The following is a 20,446-nucleotide window of genomic DNA, read 5'->3' as shown; positions in this document are numbered from 1 at the left end:
ACTAAGTTTATTTCTTGACCCACTAGTTGATCACCATCCACACCTGAAAAACAAAAATGCTGCTTTAAGGCCTGGAGATGCAGCTCCCCATTGCTATTTCCTTTCTCCTTTCTCCAAAAACCCCCGCTCCTTGGAAGCACGTGTCTGCTCACCTTCCTCATTGGGACTATCTAACCACAACTCAGTCACTCCTACTCATTTACAGATGACTTTTTTTACTTGGCCAACTTCGTCTAGTATACTAAGATGGAACAGGTGGTTCTAAATCAAAGATTTAGTATGGTACTACAATCACCCCAGAGTGTTGTCATCATGCTAACTCAAACACAAGAGAGAGAACTTTTTAAAACCTAAATCACCATTCTCTCCACCACAACTGCTGACAATTTTTGATGACATAAACATCCAAATAGAACATCTCGGTTTCCTGAGTTCCAACTACCACTTCCTCCTCCACTCTTTCTCAACTACCCACTCATGTAGTCTTGCTCTAGACTTTCTTATTCCAGAATAATTTTTAAAACATGGTGTAGAGCCAATCACCCAGCCAACCTCAGCCTAGATTAGTTGATCCTCAGCCAATCTGCAAATCCGTAAGAATAAATGATTTTTTTATTAAGCCACTGAGCTTTGGCATACTTTGTTCTGTGGCATTTTTGTGGCAATAGCTAACTAACACATTCATCATCTCTATACTAAGTATTAAGTGGTTTAACATGGCTGAAGAAAATCACACAACCATTCTACCTGATATTTATGACTGCGAATCTCAAATGAGCTCCCAATATGGCCTGACAATTCGACTACACTTCACTAGTAAATTCATCTTCATCCTTTGCAAGACAATGATTTATCATGTTTAGTTCAAATCTCCAGCATCCCTCTTCCTCATCTTCCTTTTGGCTAATTACTTGCCACAGCCTTTATAATTATATGCAAGCTGATAAAATACCTACCTTTCCACCATCCAAGCCACTAACTTGTATCTGACAACAACACAGTCTGCCTTCTCTCTGGTTAACAGAGAAGTTTTCCTGCTCCCATCTAAGGTAAACCCCTTCATTTTGTTTTAGATGCCAACCCCTCTCACTTTTGCAATTATACCCTTTGTTTCTTTCTCCCCTTTATCACATCAACTTTCGCTTTTCTACTAGGTTATTCTAATTAACATAAAAAATGCTTTAAAATATTACCCATCAAAAAACAAAACAAAACAAACAAACAAAAACACCCTTAAACTCATCATCCCCTTCAGCCAGCACATTCTCTCCCCTTTCATAGCAAAGGGCATTAAAAGAACTTTCGGTACTCTCTGAGTCCACTTATTCTTAGTCCACTCCAAACCAGTTTTCATTCTCACCATCACCTCTACATAGCTTTTCCCAAGGTCACTAATGACCAGTGTGACCATATAATTTATCATCCACACTGGAACATTTCTGAGTAAAGTAAACACTAATCAGACAAGACACCAGATTAGCAGGCATAAAATAGGACTGTCTCAGGCAAACGAATGTAATGACACCTACACTGATATGGCTCAATTCACTTTCTTGACCTATCAAGAACATCTGACACAGCCAAACACTGTCTCCTTGAAGCACCTTCTTCTCTAGAACTAGCATTCTGTGACACCACATACACCTGCTTTTCCTCCTACATCACCAGTACTCCATCTCCCTCATCTGCTCATCTAAAATCTGGAATGCCCCAGATTATGTCTTTGGCTTGCTTGCTTTCTCTGTCTACACTACCTCTTAAAGTGACCTCATCCACTTCAATATGCCACCAATACACCAAATCTACCTCCCTAACCTGACCCTTCCCATCACAGAACCAACCTATTCAGCATCTCCACTTGTAAGCCCAACTGGTAAAAGTTAACACAACCAAAATAGAACCATTAATTCCCACCACCCCAAAAATATGTCCCCATCCCATGTCTTCACCATCTCAGACAACAGCACTATAATCCACCCAGTTGCTCAGGCCAAAAATGCAGGAGCCATTCTTGATCATTCTCCTTCCTCCATACCGTCATGCAAATCCATTAGTAAATTCCACTGACCCTACCTCCAAATATCTCCCAAATCTATTGTTCACCATCTCACGCCAACAACCCAGGCCCAAGCCACTAGTCTCTCACTTAGCCTACCCCAACAGGTATCTAAAGGGCCTCCAACTTCTTCTACTGCCCCCACAGTCCATCCTCCAGCTAGCAGATGGGAAAGGGGAACAAACTGTCTAAAGCATGAATTCCCTGCCCAAACTACAACTGGAACAAAATCAAACCTCCTTATCATAGTCTACAAACCCACTTTGTCTGGCCCTATTTACCTTTCTAATCTAATCTCATCTTTCTCCACTCTCTCATCATTTACTCTGCTCAAATAATAATCGTCCTTTTCTTTCTGGCCCATAAAACACGCCAAACTTATTCACATCTCAGGTCCTTTGCTCCTGCTGCTTGGAATGTTATCTGCCTTTACTTTTACATCACTCCCTTCTCTTCATTCAAGTCTCTGCTCAAATGACTCCTCCCCAGAGAATAACGTAAAAGTCACCTGTTTCTCTATCTATGGGTATATTATCTGTCTCGTCCCTACCCCTCCTCTACAATGTAAAGCCTTTCAAGACAGGGACCTTATCTATCCTGCTTGACATTGTAACACCAATGGTTGGAACAGTGTCTGGCATAGAATAGATACCCCATAAATATTTAGTAAACTATTGATTGAAAGATGAAATTCATCAGGATCAATACTGGCAGTGAAAAAAAGAGGTAAGCTCAACAGCTTAGATATAGGGAAGGGAAAGGGCAAGCCATGTATAAAAAGCAGTAAAGTGGTTCTTCATCCATACCTGATCTGGCCTGATCCAGCTACAGGTCTTACAAATCTTAGATCTTCAAGTGCAGTTCAATTCGGTCCTAAACTAATCCTGACCAATACCACAAAGCTTATTGGGCACCATATCAGTGTTTACAGTCTGGCGTTAATCTTGCTGCCCTAAATGTGATGTGCCCCCCAAGTACCCTCATGCTTGCCAAGCCACAGCGTGACTCCTAATGCCCCACATAACAAGCCCCAGATCCTGGGTTTGTTGCCCAGCTTCCTACGGGAATGCAGACCCTCCACAATCTCAATATTACTTGGTTGTGGTCATTACAATTGCCCAGCCCTTACCAAGTCTCTTTCTAGACTAGCCAGAAACATAAGAGCTATAGGCTTGAGTGTTCACCCAGGGCAGCTCTTCCTGGATAAAGGCACTGCCATCAGCCTAAGAGTATATGCTACCACCACTACCAACACCACGAAAGTCCTGAGGCCAGGTTCTCTGCAGCATCTCATTCAGACCTGAATCTGTAACTCACCTCTAAACATTTCAGTTTGGACTGCATGCTACCCTCAGTTTTTTTTGTTGTTGTTATTTTGAGATGAAATCTCACTCTGCTGCCCAGGCTGGAGTGCAGTGGTGCGATCTTCGTTTACTGCAACCTCCACCTCCCGGGTTCAAGCGATTCTCCTGCTTCAGCCTCACGAGTAGCTGGGACCACAAGTGTGCACCACCACGCCTGGCTAACTTTTGTAATTTTAGTGGAGATGAGGTTTCACCATGTTGGGCAGGCTGGCCTTGAACTCCTGAGCTCAGGTGATCCGCCTCCCTTGGCATCCCTCCCAAAGTGCTGGGATTACAGGCATGAGCCACTGTGCCCAGCCTACCCTCAGTTTTAAAATTATTTTTTGAAAATGTCAAAAAAAACACACACACAAACACAAACAGAAAAAAAATACTTGTTGAGTGCTTGTTCCATCAGGTCAGTGCTCCTACGCCTAGCCCTATTCATCCCTGGCTCAAGCTCCAATGCCAATCAGAGGTTAAGCAACTTAGGCAAGGTCACATGGCATTTAAACAGCAAAGCCAAGATCCAAACCCAGTCTAAGTATATACTCTATTCATTACGCTTTGTTCCCTGTTCCTTTTTTGTTTGTTTGTTTGTTTGTTTGTTTTTGTAGCACCAGGACCGAGTACTTATCAGATATTCCATCAATGACTGTTTAACTGATAGGGTGTCTTAAATATTTTTAAGACAGATTTTTAAAACAAATCTCCACCTAATGGGAATTTCATTTCAATGTTTACCCACACAATATAGAAATACACAAAGCAAAAGCACTCTTCACCAAAATCTACTTTACCTACTCACCTGATGAACCAATTCTCTCCATGCCCTCAGTAACTACATTCTACTGTGCTTGCACACGTCTGCTCCTCCAGCTGGGATGCATTTTACCAACTCATACATGTTGGATTTGCTCCCACATCTGTTTATGACACTTGCACTTATTGAAATTACACAATTTAAGTAAATGAATTCAATGAAATGTGAATGTAAAAAGAGCTCTTTCTATGAAAACTAAGTTGGCTGCTTTGGAGTGGCTTGATCAACGTGCTACTGGAAAAAAAATAAATGTTTTCAATCCAATTAGACACGGGAGGAATGAAAGAGAAACTGTATAATTCATAGAAGATTTTGCATTGAGATTTCAAGTGTCTCAGTTCTTGCTGCACTTAAAAAAAAAGCCTGGAAATTATAGTTGGTGCATGATTATGGTGTGGTTTGTGCAAAAAAGGACATGTGGCTCTTGAAACAGCTTACCACACTTAGTTTTACAAACAAAGATTGGAATACAATTGTAAACCTACATATTTGAGGTTAAAATATTTAGGGTACACATGTATTCTGTTTTGGTGATTTCCCTACTTTGGCTGGCTTTTTATTGATTAAGCCAACTTAAAGCTTTTTCAACTATGTCAACAGGCCTGGTACCATGTAAGCCCCTCCATGTGATGTCCTCCTTCCGGGAACATGCAGAGTAAAACACTATCTATACAGCATACTCCTAGCAGTTGTGGTTTGAAGTAAAACAACAACAACCTGCCCTATACCACCAATAAAATGGACACACTATGTTGAATTTTCTACTATACTGAGACTGTGTTAAACATTTAGTCTGTTTATTACCAATAATTGATTTTAGATGTCCCTTGAAAAACTCTCATTTAAATTTTGTTTCATTTCTAAAGAGATAGAAAGTGTCCGTCTCAAATAATTCCAATTCATCCAACATATATTTCATGAACTTTTTAAAACCCATCCATTCAAAACTGTCAGATGTTTCTCAAATTCTTCTAGATGATAACAGTTCTAATATGGAAAGAATCTGTAGATGAGTACTCATAATATTAATTTAGGAATAGAAAGCATTTACTTTCATGGGCACTGTTTATTAACAGCATTACCTTTGTTTGTAACACTTACATCAAGTGAAAAACTCTTACCTACTTTTAGGAAGCCAAAACAAATACCCAAAGGCGGAGAAGTCAAACTCATGTAACAAAACTACAAATTTAGCAATGAAGTAAATGCTTTAAGAAGTTCAAGATCCTTTAGGATTCTCCAAAAGTGTTAATTAACACATCTAATGACATAGCATGTATCTTGAATAATTTTTGGATCGTGAAAAAAATTTTCAGTTATAAAGACATTTACATTTTTGAATTTATAAACTCTCTTTGTAAGCAATACTAGTTAATGACGATTTAATAGTTGCTGTGTGATGCTGAGCAAATTATTTAACCTTCTTAAGCCTATTTCTTCAATCACATTGGGGTAACACCTATCTTATATGGAGGCAAAAACATCAAATGAGCTACATATAAAATGCTTAGCATATAACTAGAGATATACTCATGTGAAAATCCTTCATACATGCACATACACACACAGACTCACACACACTTATATATTTATATTTTTTATATCTAAAGCCAAGTATTCTTGGCCAGGAGTGGTAGCTCATGCCTATAATCCCAGCACTTGAGGAGGCCAAGGTTGGCAGACTGCTTGAGGTCAGAAGTTCAAGACCAGCCTGGCCAACATGGTGAAACCCCATCTCTACTAAAAATACAAAAATTAGCCGGGCGTGATGGTGCATGTCTGTAGTCCCAGCTACTTGGAAGGCTGAGGTGGGAGAATTGCTTGAACCTGGGAAGAGAAGGTTGCAACGAGCCAAGATCACACCACTGACCACAGCCTGGGCAACAGAGCAAGACTCTGTCTCAATAAAATAAAAAAATTTAAAAATTTAAAAATAAAGCCAAGTATTCTTAACAGTGGAAGGTGGGGCAAGCAGCAAGGTACATGGATTCTCTGAAAGTGTATTGAAAATGTATGCAAAACTTTGTGCAGATAAGCTAATGTGCCCTTTCCTTAGAAAAGGGTTGACAGTTTTTCATCATATTCTCAAAGGTGTCCATAACCACCAAATGTCAAAGAGCATACTTTTCAATAGCCTTTGACTGTATTTTCTCTATTTCCCAGATTTATGCAGTTCATAAAGTTTGCTTTGAAACTCTAGACACAAGTTAAATTTTAATTCACTCAACAGCAACAACAACAAAAAAGTTGAATTACAAGTGTAGTCATAGGTAAAATATTGGTTCTCCTTTTATCTCCCTTTAAAAAAAAACCTGTAAATTCATTTAGCTCAAATTATCCTCCAATTCTGCCATAAATAAAACCAAATATCCAAACTTAAAGCCAAAGTTTAAAAACCTAAACAAACAAAAAAACAACAGCAGCAACAAACACACAAAAAGCTAGGAAACCTGGAATGGCCAAGAATTAAAGCCCTATTGCTTGTATAAATCAGAAGGGACTATAATAACAATAGTCCCTTCTTTGGAGTTAATTTTTTAAATTACTCATTCCCTCATTCTGACTCCAAGTTAACAACCTTCACTTCAAATAGGTATTATATTGTTTAAAATTAGTGTAATAAGGAGACCATATGGTATCATGGAAGAGACCCTACACTAGTAATCTGGGAAACCAGGGGTATGGCCCTGTTCTGTCGCCAACTGACTGCCAACAGATGGCTGGACCTCAGCATTCTACGGCACAATGATTCTGCATCAAAACATGCAATCCCAAAGATACTTTCTAGCCCAATATTATACTTTACTACTAAAACAGAAACTTTCAAAAGGGAGGTCACCTGGTAAAAGATTTGAGTCTAGGTCCAGTGAGAAAAATATACCACCACCAAGAAACATTTGAATTACAGAAACTTCTGTTCCCACTGTCAGCACCTTCAGGGCATATAAATTCAGAGCATGGCTTCCAGTTAGGGCCACTTAAAACTTCAGCTTAACATTAATAACAACAGACACCTTCTTCTTTAAGGTGGACAGCACTTTACAAGAAAGATTTAACAAAATATAGATTGACAAAAAATATACAAAGCAGGAAATAGGAGTCTGGTGTATCTTTACATGGTATAGTCTTATTTTTTTCATTGAAAAACACATGTTATGGAAAAAGTAGCTACTTTTAATCTAATTTATTTCTCAACTGCCTTTTCCAAAACAAGTATTTTTCAATTGAAAATAAAAGAAAGCTTTACAAATCATGATAGCCCTATGCTGAAGAGATATCCCTCTCCCTCTTAAAAACTTAAAACAAAACAAAACTATACAAATGTTAAGCATTTAATAAGCCTGCCAAATGTAACTCTTAGAATGTATTCCTGCATATTCTAAAAGCTAAGCAATATATACACAAGAGGCAAATTAGGATGGCAAGAGTTTTCTGAAAGGCTGTGATGACTAATATTTCAGGACTGGAACATGATAGTTATTAAAAGAAACATGAGAGGTGTTCTCCTAATTCCTAATAGGCCCATGTCCCCACCACAAGAACTACTACAAACAACATTCAGGGCTGAATTCACACAGTTTAGTCTCTAAGGCCTAAATGAGTTTTCTCAATTTTCTCCCATGTGGCCCATTATGTGAATCAAAGAAATCAGTAATTCATTTGTTGAAGGTCAAATATAAGGACATAATGAGGCCCATGCACTAAAATGAATAAAAAGAATGAACAAAAAGAAACCAAGATAAACTCTTGTTGAAAACAATGCCCCAGAATCTAGCAAATAGTCTAAATGTACCTAAAAGACCAGAACGAGATGACATATTAGTTCAGTGATCTCATGACATATACCAAACACTTTCTTCCATGTTAAAAAAAAAAAAAAAAAGTTCATCTAGCATCTGATGCATACATTTAGAAACAACCCCAATATTGACCAAGGTTTTTCAAATGCCTTACCTCACAACTGGAACTTCTAAGCAAAAGCTAATGAGGCCATCTGGGAAAGATCACCAGGAGGCCTTACTACTGCCAGTATTTCACATGGAACAATCGATAGCATGTCTTAACAAGTGCAAAGATTTCAGTCTCCGAATTCATTCTGTAGCATATTTCAACTAGTTAGCAGGGATAAGGATTGAGCCAACAACTTCCTATTTGTGCAAGTAGAATTTAAAGATTATTTCTTAAGAATTTAGTCCTAGTTATTTTTGTTGTCCTCAAAACACAGTGTCCCTGTTAGAAGGAATATAAATAAACACACATTTTCAGATGGCAATTTGGCATTGCTATCAAAAAATTAATATATGCATGTACTCTTTGATCCACCAATTCCATTTTGAGGAATCCAGCTTATAAAATTTGGGGATGCAAATATAAAAATGTTCACTCATTGCACTGTTTTTATAAAGGTGAAAAATCATACATATATATATATAGCTGATTAACATGAGTTAGACCCATATACACTAATGTGTGAAGACCCCTAAGACACTGTTCAGTTCAAAAAGCAAGTTTCAGAACAAGTATAGTATTTCTTATGTAAAAAAATTGTGTGTACGTTTGTGTGAATAAATGCATGGAAAACAGTCTGAAGGGATTCACAGTATATAACAGAAGCTGCCCTCTAGAGAAGAAGAAGTGAATCAATGTATGTGGACTGGGGTAGGTTCGAAGAGAAGGTCCGTTTTCTAAAGAGGGATTTTCACCTTTTACTCCACACCCATCTGTATTATTTAAACATTTATGTAACACACATAAAACATTTGTTCTTTATAGAAAATAAGATGCAATATCAACTTTTACCTAAACTCCAGAATCACTTAAAGAGGATGCTCAAATAGTAAAACAAAGAATAGGCTGGGCATATGGTGGTTCACACCTATAATCCCAGCACTTTGGGAGGCTGAAGAGGGCGGATCACTTGAGCCCAAGAGTTTGAGATCAGCCTGGGGAACACAGTGAGACCTCTCTACAAAAAAATAAGAAAATTAGCTGGGCATAGTGGCACACGCCTGTAGTCCCAGCCAAGTAGCTGGGAGGCTGCAGCGGGAGGACTCCTTGAGCCTAGGAGGTCGAGGCTGCATGATCCATGATCACACCACCACACACCACCCTGAGAGACAGACCAAGATCGGGTATCAAAAAAAAAAAAAAAAAGACAGAAATAAAAAATATTGGCAGTCAAAAACATACTTTGTAGACTATATCCTTCCAAGGAATAAAGAAAAATTGTGGGCAGCATCAATCAACAGTTATAAATGAATATGACAGTGTTTTCATGAAAGAACAAGCATCATTCAGAGAACTAAAGGATTTGTATCTCAGATCTTAAGGAATATAAAAGATACTGAACTCAGAAACATTACTAAAAAGGTGTAATCATTCCAAATATTTTTTAGAAATACAATTTTCACAATGAATCCTATTATTTTGGTGCAAATTGTATACTGTGTGGGTGTGCTTTTTTTATTAAAAAAACTGTATGCATAAAAAGCTAGATGGTGTGAAGTGTTTACTCTTACCTGTACATTTTCTTCTGTAACCTGAATTTCTGCAGTGTAAACATAATCAATTAGCATCCTCAGGGTCCAGCCATCTACCTCTTTTATTCTAACTCTCTTTGCTCGGCTCTCACTCATCTCACCTAAAACACAAAGGAATAAGAGTGATGTTACAGCAAGACACTGCTGTGGAAGTTCCAATGCCAATGTAGATTGATACATCTTCTTGCCACTCACTGTATTCAACAGGCAGCATAATCAGCCACTTTTTGCAGGCCGAAAATACTCCCCCCTTCCTCTTCCAAAAGCTCACCTGAGCAAATCATAAAATGTACTTTTGTTACCCACTTGCACCTGAAAATCATATCACAACAATGAACGTGCCATATGTCCAGCTGCATGAACTATTCTTGTGGCTATAGGATCAGTAGCTGAGGCTGTCCCTGCTTTTGGGCACTTGTTGTCTTTATGGATTTCCAGTCATGACTAGAAGAGTAACGATGTTACTGCCTTTGGCTAATAGCAATGAACAGCTGCTGAAAAGGACCCACCTGGTTAGCATTACTCCTTCAACAAACACACAAATGCCTGCCGGGGCATGCATAGCCTGCACCAGACACAGAGGCTCCACCCTCAGTGAGAGGTCACAACCCTCATGCCAGAGACAACGAGAAAACAAATTACTTATGATGCTTAGAGAATGCAAGGCATAACAGGGATCACAATAATAACAAAGAGTTAGTCAACAACAAAGCTTGTTACAGAGATCTTCTAGCTCAGATTCAGTTCCTGTTTGTCAACTGCAGCAACTTCACGCTGAAGTCATTTCCATACCAGCTTTATTACTAAAACCAGGTATCCTTCTACAAAACTGCCTGCAAAGAAAACAGTAAAAGACTTTCTTCCTAATACCCACTTGTGGAAAAGAAATAGGGAAGGAGGAAAGAGAAGGGATGGTCCCTAAGCCAAGGAGACTTGGGGAGAGTAGGAGGCAAGTTTAAGCACCGAGGTGTGACAACATAAGTGAACTATGATACATGGAGACACAAGCAATTGAATGCGGGTGGGGAGGGATTCAATTAAAAACTAAAAGGACAGTCCAAGAATAATGCTGAGGGCCATGGGCAAAAAAGATTTGGCTCTAGAATTCACTAAGTTTCAAAGGTAAAAGAAGCATGAGAACGTGCCACTATTCATCACCTTCACTTTAACCCAGCATCTCTTATTAAACCATAACATAGCCTCAAGATTTCTTGAAAGCTCACTTCTTTTTCTGATACAATGCACTGTCAGCGACCATAAACTATCAGAAAAGTCTATGGGAAATCATAATTACACAAAATTCCTTTGTAAACAAAACCCTGGGAGAAGAGAAATAACAATAGTGGTGTACAAAACTGCGTGCTTCCCTGGAGATTATCTTTGACAAGATCTCAGAAAGAAGCTGTTCATCTCAGAGCTAAAATATCCCAAAAAACTACCCTGCTACTTCCCAGGAAGAAAAACATCTCTTTGTATGACAAGGGAAGTAGGAGAGTTAATGAGAAAGATGTACCTATACCTACATAGCAGGATGAAAGGGGACTGAGTTGTATGTCTGGTGCTACGGCAAATGTTTTTCCCCTGCTTACAGAAAGGAGGAAAAAGGAAGGTCAAGGAATACAGAAAAATAAGTCTTCAGCCACATATAAGGCACCTTTCTCTATCCTATTCTTGCTGGATCCTGTGAATAGTTGGGGTATAAACTGATAGTCTGTATAAACTGAAGCCTCTTTTGTGCCAAAAGTTAAGACATTCTGGTGATTCCCACTTGGACTTGAGACAAAGGCCATAACTGATTCACCTACAGAGCCCCAATAATATGCAAAGCCCTTCAGGGCCTGGGGCCACATGAGCACAAAGCCAAACAGCCAGTACTCAGTTAAGCGTGACTTACCTTAGGCAAAACCAAGTGGGACTTTAATTTACATGTATGACTGAAAAATAATTAGTTCTCTGCCAAACAGTTTTTAATATTATAGTTTTTAAGGTATTGCTATAAGATGCATTTTGCTAGTTCAAATATTTGTCATTTTTAAGATTATTTTTCTCCCCAGAGAACTGTATCTGCTTCCAATAAATTCAATTTCAATTATATACTGTTTTGAATATTTTTATATTAATTTACAAAAACAGTAAGAAAAATAAAAAATGTGCCCATGACTGTATTAATGGTTTAAAAATTCTAATTACTATGAATCAAAGCCCATACTAAAGAGTATTGTAAAAGTTATTTATATCTAATTCCAGTTGTTACATTATTACCTTAGTTTTTGCCCTATGCTGTGTTTTCAGAGGAAATCTTTAAACAGTATGGCTTTGTGAGATTTCTGATTGCTAATGCATTTTAAAAACTATGAATGAGAGTCAGGTGCTGTGGCTCACTCCTGTAATCCCAGCTACTAGGGAGACTGAAGCAGGAGAATCACTTGAGCCCAGGAGTTCAAGACTAGCCTGGGCAACACAGCAAGACTCTGTCCTATTTAAAACAAACAGAAAAAAAACTAGGCTACCCAATGATACTGTACATAGTTTATCCTTACCATTTGTAACCTCCCATAGTCTCTATAGAGATTATAGTTTATTGTTTATGTTTTGATCACATAACTCTGAGGTTATATCAGAACTCTGAAGCTACATTATGCTATCCATACAAACACCTATACTAAAAACCTCAGTGAGAGTCATCCTTGATTCTCTCCTCTTCCTTACCCACCAGTCCCACAGTTCACTAAAACTTGCAGAACTAACCTTGGATAGATCTCAAATAAATCTTCTCACCTTCTCACCATTGGGGATCCTATAATCTCTTGCTAACACCAATGTAGCCACCTCCTAATTATTTTCCTGCCTCCAGTACTGACTCCACAAATTTGGGCACGGAGTTCAAAAATCCTTTGGTTTCTCCCAGTCCAAGCACACATGTCCAGCCCCTGATTCATTACCTAGCCTTCTCTCTCTCCTCCCGCTATTTCTAAACTTGAAATACATTATTGAGAAGCTGTTTGTTGTTTTCTACAGACACCAAGCAATGTCTTACCCCTGATGCTCTTGTTGAACATTGTCCTCTCTGTCTCCCCACCCACTCATTTCCCAGGCTAATCTCCACTGGAACCTCTCTAGGTAGCCTTATCTGTTAGTGGCCCATGGCTGGATTAGGTACAGTTGGGTACCTCATGCAAATCCACTCTGTCATAATCAACTCTTTACCTAGTTCTCCTCCTCTGAATTCTTAAGCTCACTGAGAACAGGGATGAAGCCTTTCTTATCTCTGTATAACATGTCTGACATCTAGTAGATACCCAATAAATACTGGTTAGATAAGTAAATGACTAGATGAATAAAAAGTAAAGCAAGTGCCAATTTAAAATGTAGCATTTTGGCTGGGCACAGGGGCTCATGCCTGTAATCCCAGTGCTTTGGGAGGCCAAGGCAGGCGGATCATGTGAGGTCAGGAGTCCAACACCAGCCTGGCCAACATGGCGAAACCCTATCTCTACTAAAAATACAAAAATTAGCCAGGCATGCTGGTACATGCCTGTAATCCCAGCTACGTGAGAGGCTGAGGCAGGAGAATTGCATGAACCCGGGAGGTGGAGGTTACAGTGAGCTAAGACCGCACCACTGCACTCTAGCCTGGGTGACAGAGAAAGACTCTATCTTACCAAATAAATAAATAAGTAAATAAATAAATTAACTGAATAAATACATAAAATATAGCATTTTTACTTAACGTAACTAATGGCACTTTAAAATTAGTCTTAAACACGGATATTCTAGCTATGTAGGATTTCAGTCAACATTTATTGAACATCACTGTACATTACAGAGTGAGCCAAGCACTTTCACTAGCAAATACCACATCATCTCTACCTTTTTTTTTGAGACAGAGTCTCATTCTGTTGCCCAGGATGAAGTGCAATTGCGTAATCACAGCTCACTGCAGCCTTGAACTCATGGCCTCAAATGATTCTTCCGCCTTGGCCTCCCAAAGTACTGGGATTATAGGCATAAGCCACCGTACCCAGTCTCCTATCTACTTTTATTGAGAAAAAAAGGAAGTCCTCCAAATCATGAAAGTGTAAGAACACATATATGGCTAAAAACATTTCCATCTCGCATGCCTATAGTCCCAGCTACTCAGGAGGCTGAGGCAGGAGAATCGCTTGAAACCGGGAGACGGAGGCTGCAGTGAGCTGAGATCATGCCACTGCACTCCAGCCTGGTACAGAGCGAGACTCCATCTCAAAAAAAAAAAAAAAAAAAAATTCCAACTCAAGGATCTTTAATCAGGACTCCTGAAGCCCAACATAAACTGGTAACTTCACTTATCCATTGCAAAATGAATTTATCCAATGTATAAATGAAAAGTGAATAGGTTTAAAAAGATAAACGCTAAAATTCATTTCATTTTAAAAATTCTATGATTCTAATTTCAGTTATTTAGCACACAAAACATCTGAAAAAAAATAAAAGTGTAACACAGAAACTCTGACTATGCTGAAACTCTAAGAAATAAATAACAAATTTATAGCTATGTTTAATAAACAAATCTTATTCCATTACTTTGCAAGTTCCACTTGTCATCTACTCTAATTACTACCACCTTTTTGTTCTTAGGTTACAAAGCAGTTACTGACACACAGGCATTTTCAGTTTGGCAAGCTGATCTGGGTGGCCCACCAGCCACTCTCTGTGATGGTCAGAGTATGTAACTCTCCAGTTCTACAGCAAATCTAAGACCAACATGGTAACTGCATTGCCCTGCCAGTTTTGTTCTGGTTTGGGTAACTTCTGAGAAAGGTTTCTTAGCTCCTAAAAGACAGAGTCCTCCTTCCTTGAGATGTTGGGTCCACTCTTGCAGGCATCTTTCATTTAGGAGAGGAACAAACCTTAGGATATTTTTATTGAGGATAGAAGGGTAGAGAGACAGAAGAAGATTCTTGATGAAATTTTCAAGCTGTAGATCCAATCATGTCTGGTGCCCAGCCTGCTTTCTTAGTATTTAAACCAGTTTGAGTGGCATTTGCTGTTACAGGCAGCCTAAAGCATTCCAACTTAAGTTCTTTGTGCAACATTCTATTTAATTTTTTTCAGAGCCATCATCAATATCAGAAATTATCTTTTGTGTGTTTACTTACTGTCTAACCTTTCTTCTTCTTCCTAACTATAATCATGAGAACAGGAACTTATCTGTTTTATTCATCACTCTAGTCCCCAAAGCCTAGGACAATGCCTAGCAGAGAAGATTCTCAATAAATATTCCTTGATGAATGAAAGCATGAATCTTAGACAAACATAACCATGTATATAGCTTTTTAAAATCTTACTTCTTAGTCACTCAAACAATAATCTGTCTTTTCCTATTCTAATTTATTTTACTGAATCATGTTCAATATGACAAAAGAAATCAAAAAGCACACCAAAAAAAAGGCTAAAAATAAAAATTTAGTATTCAGTACTTCCCACCAGATTTCAGAAATGTTAGCCTGTGGCACAAATAAATCTCAAAGTATGTGTTAAGCAAACAGCTTTCTAAATGCCACATTTGTAACCAAGAAGTAATCTAAAAACACGAGAACCCAATTTGGTATGTTCTTTCTTAAGTAACAGTTAAACAACTTGGCCTTGCTCTAAATAGGCCCATACTTCACAAAGTAAAACCCTGTGACTACTTCACAGAATTACTTTTCACTTCCCTTCTCTACTCAAATACTTGGAACTATGACGAGTAACAGAATTATTTCTTAGGTGACATAATTTAAATGAAAACTTCACCTACAGTTTATGAGATTAAAAGTAAGACCCAACAAAGAACATCTGCATATTCCCCATTTCCTAATAGGTTAGTCACAGGAAAACAAAAGAAGAGTAGGGAAACTCCCTGTCCCTGAGCAAGAGAATGTAAATGTACATGATGTTTGGTGGAATGAAAGCATCCAATGGTCTACTTGTTAACCTCACCATAATTTTTACCAAAAAAAAAAAAAAAAAAAAAAAAAAGCTTAACAGGGTTTCAGACCATGAAAAACAAAGAAACAAAGTACTCATACTCTGGCAAATACTTAAATGAGTCTACATACACTAAATTACCTAGACCCAATCCCCGTGTCTTCTTTTTTTCTTTTTCATTTTTTGAGACAGGGTCATATTCTCACTCTGTTGCCCAGGTGGAGGGCAGTGGCATGATCTCAGCTCAGTGCAACCTCTGCTTCCTAGGCTCAAGCGATCCTCCTGCCTCAGCCTCCCCAGTATCTGGGACTGACTATACAGGCACGTGTGACCATGCTCAGTCAATTTTTTTAAAAATCTTTTTAGAGATGAGATCTCCCTATTTCTCCCAGGCTGGTTTAGAACTTATGGGCTCAAGCAATTCTGCCACCTCGGCCTCCCAAAGTGCTGGGATTACAGGCATGAGCCACTGCGCCCTGCCTTTATCTTTTTTTTTTTTTTTTGAGACAGAGTCTTGCTCTGTCGCCCAGGCTGGATTGCAGTGGTGCTATCTCGGCTCACTGCAAGTTCCACCTCCTGGGTTCACGCCATTCTCCTGCCTCAGCCTCCCGAGTAGGTGGGACTACAGGTGCCCGCCACCACGCCCGGCTAATTTTTTTTTTGTATTTTTAGTAGAGACAGGGTTTCACCATGTTAGCCAGGATGGTCTCAATCTCCTGACCTCGTGATCCACCTGCCTCAGCTTCCCAAAGTGGCCTTTATCTTATCTAATTTCTGCCAAATTGTTGGCTAAACAGTAGATTCAAAAGTAGAAGAAAAAAAACAGTACAAAGATTGCTAAAAAGTCAAATAACATCTACTGCTGAAAAACCATAAAAGTTTAGCCTAAATAATAAGCATATAGAAAGATGCTTGACATCATTGGTTATTAGAAAAATGCAAATTAAAACTACAATACTATGCTACTTCAACACCCACTAGAAGGGCTATAATTTTTTAAAAAGCGGTACCAAGTGTTGGCAAGGATGTGGAGAAATAGGAAGTTTCAAACATTGCTAGTAGGAATGTAAAATGGTACAGTAACTTTGGAAAAACAGCTTAGCAGAATTTTTTAAGTATAAATTTACCATGTGACCCGGCAATTACACTCCTAGATATCTACTCCCAAGAGAAATAAAAATATATGTCCACACAAAGAACTGCACATGAATATTCATAGCAGTATTATTCATAATAGCCAAAAATCGAAACAACACAAAAACATCCATCAACTGGTAAATGGAAAGTCAAAAGCAGTCTATCCACAGAGAATGCTATTTAGCAATAAGAACAGCAAACCTTCCTTTGAAACATTTATGACACGGATGAACCTCAAAAACATTATGTGAGAACAAAAATGTTCTAAAATTGATTTATGGTGATGGCAGTACGACTCAGTAAATTTGCTAAAAATCAGTGAGTTGTGCACTTAATATAGGTAATTTTTTTTTTCTCACTCTGTCACCCAGGCTAGCATGCAATGGCACCATCTTGGTTCACTGCAACCTCTGCCTCCCAGGCTCAAGTGATCCTTCCACCTCAGCCTCCTGAGTAGCTGGGACTATAGACTAGTGCCACCACACTAAGCTGATTTTTTATATTTTGATAGAGATGGGTTTTCACCATGTGGCCAAGGCTGGTCTTGAACCCCTCAAGCAATCCACCTGCCTCAGCCTCCTAAAGTGCTGGAATTACAGGTGTGAGCCATTGCATCCAGCCCTGAAATGAGTAAATTTTATGATATATAAAATATGCCTCAATAAACTAGTAAAAAAAAAGTTAGGTACTCAATTCACATTTTGTATATGTGCCAGAAATTAACATAGTATTCCTATTTTCAAGTACTTTAGCGCATAGCAATCTAAAATTTGGCTAAGCATAAAAGGTATATTCTCAGACAGAAACCAGTTGAACTGCAAAAGCACCTACCTACTAGTTAGTTGTAATACACTATAAATACTTAGAAAATCAGAATGTCTTCAATGCCTCATTCCCTTCATTAGGCAAAGCTCACATATTCATAAACCACGTCAGCTAAATCATGAAGCATAGAGAACCATTAGACAAAAACAGAAGAGGGAAACTGAAATGCAGTTTAGATTATAAAGCAAACAGAAAAGAGAGCTAAAAACATAATAAGCTCTCCTATCTCCACCTAGCATCCATTTCACTGGATGTCTAAGGCTCAGGGAGTTTGGAGACACTAAGTCTCCAAAGCCATTTGAGGGGAAAGAAAACTAACCTTGATCTTACAGGTGTAAGTTAATCACTCTATTTTTGTCACTCTGTGGACAATAAAACATTTATCAAAAAAAAAAAAAGAGCCTAGCTTAAAGCTTTCCAATCTTGTACAGAATATAAAGAAATTTAGGAAGTTAGAGTAAAAAAGAATGGTGATGATGACCATAATAATTACTGTCAAAATTAACTGATCATTTTCTATGCGTCAAGTGCTAAGAAATTCACACATATGATCTCATTTAATCTTTACAAAAACTCTAGGATGTGGGTAATATTATTATTCCCATTTTCCAGATGGGGAAACTGAAGCACAGATTAAGTTTTCCAAAGACCTAGTAGTTCCAACAAGTAAGTGGCAACAGCAGTGTCATCTGAAGGAAGGCCACCAAGGGGACAGCACTTTACAAGGTAATTCCTAAAGTAGCCCAACACATTCCAGATCGAATCCTTCTCTTACAAGCCTTAGAGACTCTCTCTCTCTAGAAAAGTGTCCAGCAGTAATAAATAAGATGTAAATGAAGAGACTAGAGTGAACCCCAAGACATAAAAATCTGACTAGTCTCACTTCACGGGTATTGACTTTTCAGATCAACCTCAGCTCTCAGCTGAAAGGCAACCCTCCCAAACTTGGCTCAGAGCCCACCTGCTATCCTTCTTCATTCCTGATTATTTAACTCTGTTCTGGAAGAGCAAGATCATAAAAGGCTGAAAACTGAGCGGGGCTCTGGTCTCCTCACTACTCCCAAGACACCCAGAAAAGTTTTCACTCAGTCTGTCTTCTCCATCTGACCTTCTACACTCATCTTCATCTGTGTAAACCCCTCAATCCATCAGGTCTGGGGAAATCCTTCTCTCAGTGCTGCCCATCACAGCCGTCAACGTCTGACCACTGCTGTGAGCACTCAGATCTTCCATACACTATTACCTATTAAAGGGTGCACATCCATCTGCCTAGCTACACAGGAAGCTTTTGGGGCAGGAAGCTGTTCACATTGTTTTTGTATGCCTTGAAGTATCTAGTAAAACAGTAGCACCAGAAATACTTAATAGTTTCTAAAGTAAGAAGAGCTTTGTATTTTTGCTTTTTGGTATAACTACATTTCTATTTGTATTTTCTATTTGGCATACCAATACCCTAAGATTATAAACTCATTGATGTAACAGATAAAAACTTCGTTTCTTTGTACAGTATATTTTAAAAAAGAATGAGAGTAAGGGATTCAAGTGTGACAGACATAAATTACTTCTTTTCCAGAAGTACTAAAATCATTCTATATATTTTCACAGTTGCCAAAGTAGAACATGAGCTTGTAGATAAATCGCTTTATTTTCTTATATTTCCAAATGAAGGATATTAAATAAACATCTTTTTGTTCAATGTAACACTGGATGAAACAAATGTAAAAATCATTTTAAAAAATGTAAAGTGGCTTCCTTTTGTCAAAATAATAAAGTGCCAAAAAGCTATTATAAATGGCAGAAACTAATATACATAAGTATAACTTACAGGGAGAAAGTTGAGCATAAAATTGTGAGTGTACCTATGTATAGGCTTACTGACCTCCAACAATGCAAAACAAAGACGAGGAGGAATTTGGAACAAAGCAAGAACATTTTCTTCCACTATAATTCTTCATTTCATAAAAGTAAAATGTCAATAACAAAAGAAAATGTGGTAAGAAAAGCACAGATCTGAATACATTTTTTAAAATGCCTATAACTAAAATATTTCATACCTGTAAACATGGCATGAAAATAAGGACTACAGGCGGCCAGCACCACTCTATGAGCAGAAATTTCCATGTCTTCTGCCACAATTGTGACATCGCACAGCAAATTTTGACTGTGTAAAAAGCAGAGAGAAAAAATTTAAATGATATCAACAACGAATGTATTGAACATCCTATGCAAAAATATTACAGTAAAGCCCACTTTCATCAAGTGGAGACTAACGTAAAAGACAGCCATCCTTTGGGACATGATCCCTAAACATGAAGTACATAGAAAACAGCTGGGATAAAGGTCCAACATGCCTTGGACTCTCACTAAGAATCCTGCCTTTGAAAAACACAGAAATCCTCCCAAACTTGATTACTGATTTCTCAACCTAAAGGCAATTACTGGCAGCAAACCATCAATGGACTGCAAAAGAAGAGGGTGTCTGAATAAGAAGTAGTGGCAGAAGTGGCAGGTGTAGTCTGACATGAAGATGAAGAAAAAACACATACCGAAAACTAAATTGGGTCAAATACCCATCCCCTCTCAAAAAAAAAAAAAATCTTAAAAGACGCTAGTTCATCAAGCAATGGTAAAATTATATTCAGTTACACTTGCTGCTTAAAAGGCTTTGCACATTTGAAGCTTAACTTAATCACAACATTTTACCAATGCAAAATATCTCATCCTTCAAGGCCAGAAAATATTACATCTAAAGTTAAAAAACACTTTGGCCAGG

At 38.2% G+C, this 20,446-nt stretch overlaps 1 protein-coding gene across 12 annotated transcripts in view, besides 1 other annotated feature; it reads right to left on the bottom strand.

Annotated features, from left to right (window-relative positions):
- Positions 1–20,446, bottom strand: part of KLHL2 (kelch like family member 2) — a 115,596-nt gene that overhangs the window by 74,516 nt on the left and 20,634 nt on the right. For 8 of the 12 annotated variants that reach the window (XM_047449560.1, XM_017007674.2, XM_011531572.3 and 5 more), the window contains 2 exons: positions 19,728–19,834; positions 9,742–9,863 (listed from right to left, as the gene is read on the bottom strand). The exons of 1 other annotated variant lie outside the window; for it this stretch is intronic. In XM_047449560.1, coding sequence (XP_047305516.1) covers positions 9,742–9,863; positions 19,728–19,834 — 229 coding nt within the window. The remainder of the gene's footprint in view (positions 1–9,741; positions 9,864–19,727; positions 19,835–20,446) is intronic. 3 more of the 12 variants (NM_001331024.2, XM_011531576.4, NM_001161522.1) reach the window with 2 other exon arrangements.
- Positions 10,294–10,363: an enhancer, noted in NCBI's record as "active region_22117". NCBI's record gives its function as "activates an Ori minimal core promoter by ATAC-STARR-seq in GM12878 lymphoblastoid cells {active_cell/tissue: GM12878}" and the evidence as "EXISTENCE:reporter gene assay evidence [ECO:0000049][PMID:35858748]".

This window comes from Homo sapiens, chromosome 4 (assembly GCF_000001405.40).
Source record: "Homo sapiens chromosome 4, GRCh38.p14 Primary Assembly".
NCBI lineage: Eukaryota > Metazoa > Chordata > Mammalia > Primates > Hominidae > Homo > Homo sapiens.
The sequence above is the reverse complement of the archived record's forward strand: the minus strand, read 5'-3'. Positions and strand labels throughout refer to the sequence as shown.